This window comes from Homo sapiens, chromosome 1 (assembly GCF_000001405.40).
Source record: "Homo sapiens chromosome 1, GRCh38.p14 Primary Assembly".
NCBI lineage: Eukaryota > Metazoa > Chordata > Mammalia > Primates > Hominidae > Homo > Homo sapiens.
Genome location: NC_000001.11, coordinates 5307458 through 5312772, shown reverse-complemented (window position 1 = coordinate 5312772; position 5315 = coordinate 5307458). Strand labels below are relative to the sequence as shown.

The 5315-nt window shown below is 49.7% G+C and overlaps 1 annotated feature.

The window, feature by feature from the left end:
* Positions 677 to 1178: an enhancer, noted in NCBI's record as "H3K4me1 hESC enhancer chr1:5371655-5372156 (GRCh37/hg19 assembly coordinates)". NCBI's record gives its function as "activates a minimal SCP1, AML or CMV promoter by ChIP-STARR-seq in naive H9 embryonic stem cells {active_cell/tissue: H9 hESC(naive)}" and the evidence as "EXISTENCE:reporter gene assay evidence [ECO:0000049][PMID:30033119]".

Genomic DNA, 5315 nt, shown 5'->3' with positions numbered 1-5315 from the left:
CAGGGGAGAACCCTGTTGTCCTCACTGCTCTGGCGAGAGTTTGACATATCCACGACTCAAGCAAAGGTTTTTGCCTTTGAATCCTGTATCCTATTCACATCCTCGCACCTGTCTTTGTATTGTGTACTTAGAGTAAGACTTGTCATGAAAAGAGCCTAGTGCTGCGGCAGTCAGAGAGGGACAGGGCTCCGTTGCTGGGGAGCAGCAGAAGAGATAGTTTTTAAGGTGATTCTTAGAGGATGGAAAATTCCTCCGTGGGTGTGGAACACAGTAAGAGTGCTCTAGGTGGCAGGAACACCTTGCACAAAGGCTTGGAGCTGGGAAAGTTAGGGCTTGATATTGGAGGAGCAAAAAGCAGTCTTCCAGGCCTGGGAAGGGGCAGGGGCCTGACAGCAGAGGGCTGGAGCATGGGGAGAGGGTGGATTGGGACACAGCGATTGCTTATTGGCAGGTTGAACATGAACCGTCAGAACGTTCCTGCTTTGGTGGGCAGGAGTGAGGCTCTCCCTGCTCTGGCACTTGGGCAGATGGCCACCCACACTGAATGGGGTTAGAGGGACATGTTATTCCCAATGTCAACAGCCACCATGCCACTGCAGCAACAGCAGGTCCCTAAGTGCCCATCCTGCTGAGAGCAATTTATGCTGTGCAGGCTGGAGAGGCCAGAGAGAAAACAATCCACACAAGATCCCAGTCCGGGGTCACTGAGAGCTGAGCCAGGTGAACTGCGCGGTGGGGGATACTCCTCTGTGGGAGTCTGGCCTCTGTGGGGTTTGCTTTGCATCTGACCCCGCCCCTGCAAGAGCTGCTTCTGACTCCCTTGGAGCCTCTGACCTCACGCACTGCTCTCTGCACTCTGATGTCCCCTCCAGCTCCGTGTTCATTCAACGAATGTCTCTCTGTTTCCCAGCCTCCTGCTCATGTGGGATGGTAATTATGTTCCCGCAAAGCTTCCTTGGCCTGCTGTTTCTGGATCCCCCTGGATGACTCGGAAAGATTAGCTGGGCCCTGGCTAATTAAGCACAGAAGAGGCTTAGGGAGCTGCATGCTGGGCCTGGGCTTGGAGAGGCCGCTCAACCCCCTGGCAAAATTGCTTCTGTTTGATCACATTAACTCCCAAAATGGCTATGCGCTTCTTATTTCCTATTTGTAGGGGTTTTAATTTTTGTTTATTTTTAATGAACAGGTGCGTTAGTCCAGAAGGTATTGTCATCTGGGCTCCGGGCAGCAGCGCTGACTACGCTGACTCTACCGTTTCTTTCTCACGGACTCTCTGTGTGTCTCTGGCCTGTCTTTCCTTCCCCAGCCTGGTGCCCGTGGTTTCTGCTTCCTTGTTTCCACAGTGGGCAGGTGTTCAGGCTTGCCAGGGCTGACTTGCCGCAACCCCTGCTCTTCAAACCTCTTGGTTCAGGAAGACTTCTGTCTCAGCAGATGACCACCTGGGTCCTACTGGGTCCCACATCCAGTGCCAAGTGGGGAGTTCCAGGGGTCCAGCTCCCCCTTTCACGCCGGGCCATGAGTCATAGCTCCTAGGTCATAGATCCCAATGCACTGATGTAGGCAAAGTGCCCACATCTACCCAGTCGCCCACAGAATGGGCCAGGATAGGCGGGAACCCCGTGTCGCTGCCACCCTGTCCTTGGGACATGGGCGAGGCAATTTCCCCTGCAAAGGGATATGGATAGGTTCAGGCGAGGATGTCTCCATTTCCAACCTGAAAACCTGTTGTGGACCAAAAGGAGGAGTTTTTGGAGTTGAGAGTGAAACCCAGGAAGGAGTCGTTAACAGACGCTAATTGTCCCACAGGTAAGCATGGGCTTGGATGAGAGACCAAACAACATGGCTCTGAAATAGGATTTCTTCATCAGAAGATGAACAGAAAACAGGAAGCTCATGGCGAGGTGAGCCGTCCCAGAAAAGGACAGGAACCTGCTTGTTGTACTGGACAGGCCCCCTACAGAGTGCTATGGGGACTCCTGGGAGCCATGCTGCTGTGGGCTGAATGTGCCCCTGAGGCTCATGAGTTAGGAAATTAACCCCAATGCAACAGTGTGGAGATGGGGGACCCGTTAGAGGTGCTGAAGCCGTGAAGATTCTGCCTCCATGAATGAGGTAATGCTATTATCTGGGTCGGGAGTGGGTTAGATATCTTGGGAGTGGGTTACTGATAAAAGGATGAATCTGGTCCCATTCCTGAACCCCTCTCAGCCCTCTTCCTCGCTCTCATTCTGTCACTCTCTCACTCTCTTACCCTCCCACCTTCCACCATGCAGAAGGTAGTCCCTGGCTAGATGTCGGCCCCTCCACCTTGGACATCTCAGCCTCTTGAACTTCAATAAATAAATATCTGTTCTTTCTAAAACACCCAGTCTCAGGGATGCTGTTATAGCAGCACAAATGGACCAAGACACAGATTGGAATTCCCTCCTTTCTCTCTCTTCTGTCTATGGTCTTACCCTTTTACAGAGCTGTGTGGTGCACAAGTGGCTTTCAGTGCATCTGCTTTGGTGAGCCCTGAGCAACGCCGTGATGCCGGGATGTCTTCATTTCAAGCTCACCTCTCCGCTTGCTCTTAGTGAAAGTTCCTTCCTTTGCGGACTGTGGTATTTTCTATGCTCAGAGGAGTCATGCCAGAAGTCAGAGGGTCCTTAGCTTTCCTGGGAGTGCTGGGGAGGCCTGGAAGGGCAGCCACCAAGGGAAGCATTTTGAACCCCAGCATTCATTAGGGCACAGGCCTGCAGCATAGGCTCCCCTCATCTGAAGGGGTCACTGCTTTCCTTTTTACTCTTTTAAAATGCATGCCTGGTTTACTTCCAGTTTATAAATAATTCTCCCCTCAGTTACCACCTATCTGTCAGCTCCTCCTAGAAAAACCATTTTATTCTTCTGACACCATACACAGAAAGGACTTGCAATTTTAAAAAGTTTAAATCAATCAACTAAAAGATTTTAATCTTTTAAAGCACATAATGAAAGTGAGCTTTGTAAGACTTTAACCTGGCTGTAAACTGAGTTCCAGTTCAGGCTTTCCATAAAGAAATCTTCTCAAAGTCTATGGTTCCCTCTTTCCTCGCCTTCCCTCACCTGTCCCCTGGTGTTCTCTCTTTCACCATTCGACGCCAGAACACCAGTGAGCTGTTTCCCTTTCTTTAAATACAGTGTGTAGTATTGCAACACTTCTTTGGATTACAAAAATACTATCAGCTAGGTGTAAAAAAAATTTTTTGAAGTTCCTTAATGTGATTTCTTAAAATTCACCATCGGCTGGGCGCAGTGGCACACACCTGTAATCCCAGCACTTTGGGAGACCGAGGTGAGTGGATAGCCTGAGGTCAGGAGTTTGAGACTAGCCTGGCCAACATAGTGAAACCCAGTCTCTACTTAAAATGCAAAAATTAGCTGGGCATGGTGGTGCGTGCCTGTAGTCCCAACTACTCGGGAGGCCAAGGCAGGAGAATTGCTTGAACCTGGGAGGCGGAGGTTGCCGTGAGCAGAGATCGCAACACTGCACTGGAGCTTGGGCGACAGAGTGAGACTCTGTGTCAAAAAAAAAAAAAAATCGTGATCATCCCACGGCCCAGGACAGAGCAGTATTACTCTGTCTGTGTTTCCTTCATTCACCATTTGCATGCATACGTGACTGGGATTCCATCCTCGCTAATGTTATATCATAAAGGCTTTCTGGGTCATTAAAATTAAAACTAGGCGGGGGGTGTGGTGGCTCACGCCTGTAATCCCAAAACTTTGGGAGGCCGAGGCGGGTGGATCATGAGGTCAGGAGTTCAAGACCAACCTGGCCAACATGGTGAAACCCCGTCTCTACTAAAAATACAAAAATTAGCCAGGCCTGGTGGCACGCACCTGTAATCCCAGCTACTCAGGAGGCTGAGGCAGAAAATTGCCTAAATCCGGGAGGCGGAGGTTGCAGGGACCTGAGATTGTGCCACTGCACTGTAGCCTGGGTGACAGAGCGAGACTCCATCTCAAAAAAATTAAAACTAAAAGCTATTTGCATGGCATACAGCCCAGTAGGTTTAGCTCTGACATGGGCAGTGGGAAATTCTATGGTTCCACACTTGGGTTTAAAATCCCTCTCAAACTCACACCTCCAGGGTCTCTACCGCTGAAGGGAGAAAAGAGGGAGCCCATTTCAATGTGGGAAGAGGGAGAGAGGAAAGGTGCCTGTGGTGGGCGGGCTGCTGGGGGGATGCACCCCTTTGCCCTGCAGACCTTGCAGACAGCCCGGACCTTCTTGCTCTTGCTTTCTGCTTTAGAGGTATTTGTCAGCTGATGGGGTGACATCACCCCCACCCCAAACCACATGCATGAGACTGCCCTGATTGGCTGCTCCTTCCAGCAAAGCTTGGTCATCCCTGGTGGACTCGTGCTCCTGGGTTCATTCGTCTTGGTCTCCAGTGGCAGGTACAGAACATCTAGCTGTGTTTCTTTATCAGATGCAATTTAGATCGGAGACAAAGGACATCAACTGATTACAAAACAAGCCACTCAGCGCACTGTGGCTCTCAGCTCTTAACCCAGCCAAATAGCTCTATGCTTTTCCATTTGGATTTGTGTATCTTCTCTGTTAAGTCATCAGTTTTATCATCTATATGTGATTCTTTATTCTCATTAAACAATAACAGCAGCACTCATCTCCATTGTGCAGCATCATGAAATAGAAAGCAAACTTTTTTTCTTTTTTCTTTTGTTTTTTTTTTTTTTTTTTTTTTTTTTTGAGATGGAGTCTCACTCTGTCACCCAGGCTGGAATGCAGTGGTGCGATCTCAGCTCACTGCAACCTCCGCCTCCGGGGTTCAAGCGATTCTCCTGCCTCAGCCTCCCAAGCAGCTGGGACTACAGGCACACGTCGCCATGCCGGGGTAATTTTTTTGTATTTTTAGTAGAGATGGGGTTTCACCATGTTGTCCAGGCTGGTTTTAAACTCCTGAGCTCAGGCAATCCGCCCACCTCGGCCTCCCAAAGTGCTACAGTTACAGGGGTGAGCCATTGCGCCTGGCTGCAAACTTTTTTTTCTTGAGAGCAAGTATAGTTTTGACTCACGAAATCACCTTACAAACTTCTCTGAGTTCTCTCGTGCAAGTCTAAAGATGGAAAAAGGTCTTCTTTGAACAGCTGGGTGTGTCCTTTGTGGCAGGGGTAGATAGGAATATTTGCAGCAAACGGAAGTTGAGTTTACTACAGAGAGTGTGACCTTGGAGTTTGGGGCCGATGCTTATGTGCAGTCAGTCATCTCTCTGTTACCTGTGCCGGATTCTGCATCTGTGGAACTGCGGTCACTAGGAATCGGAGGTTGG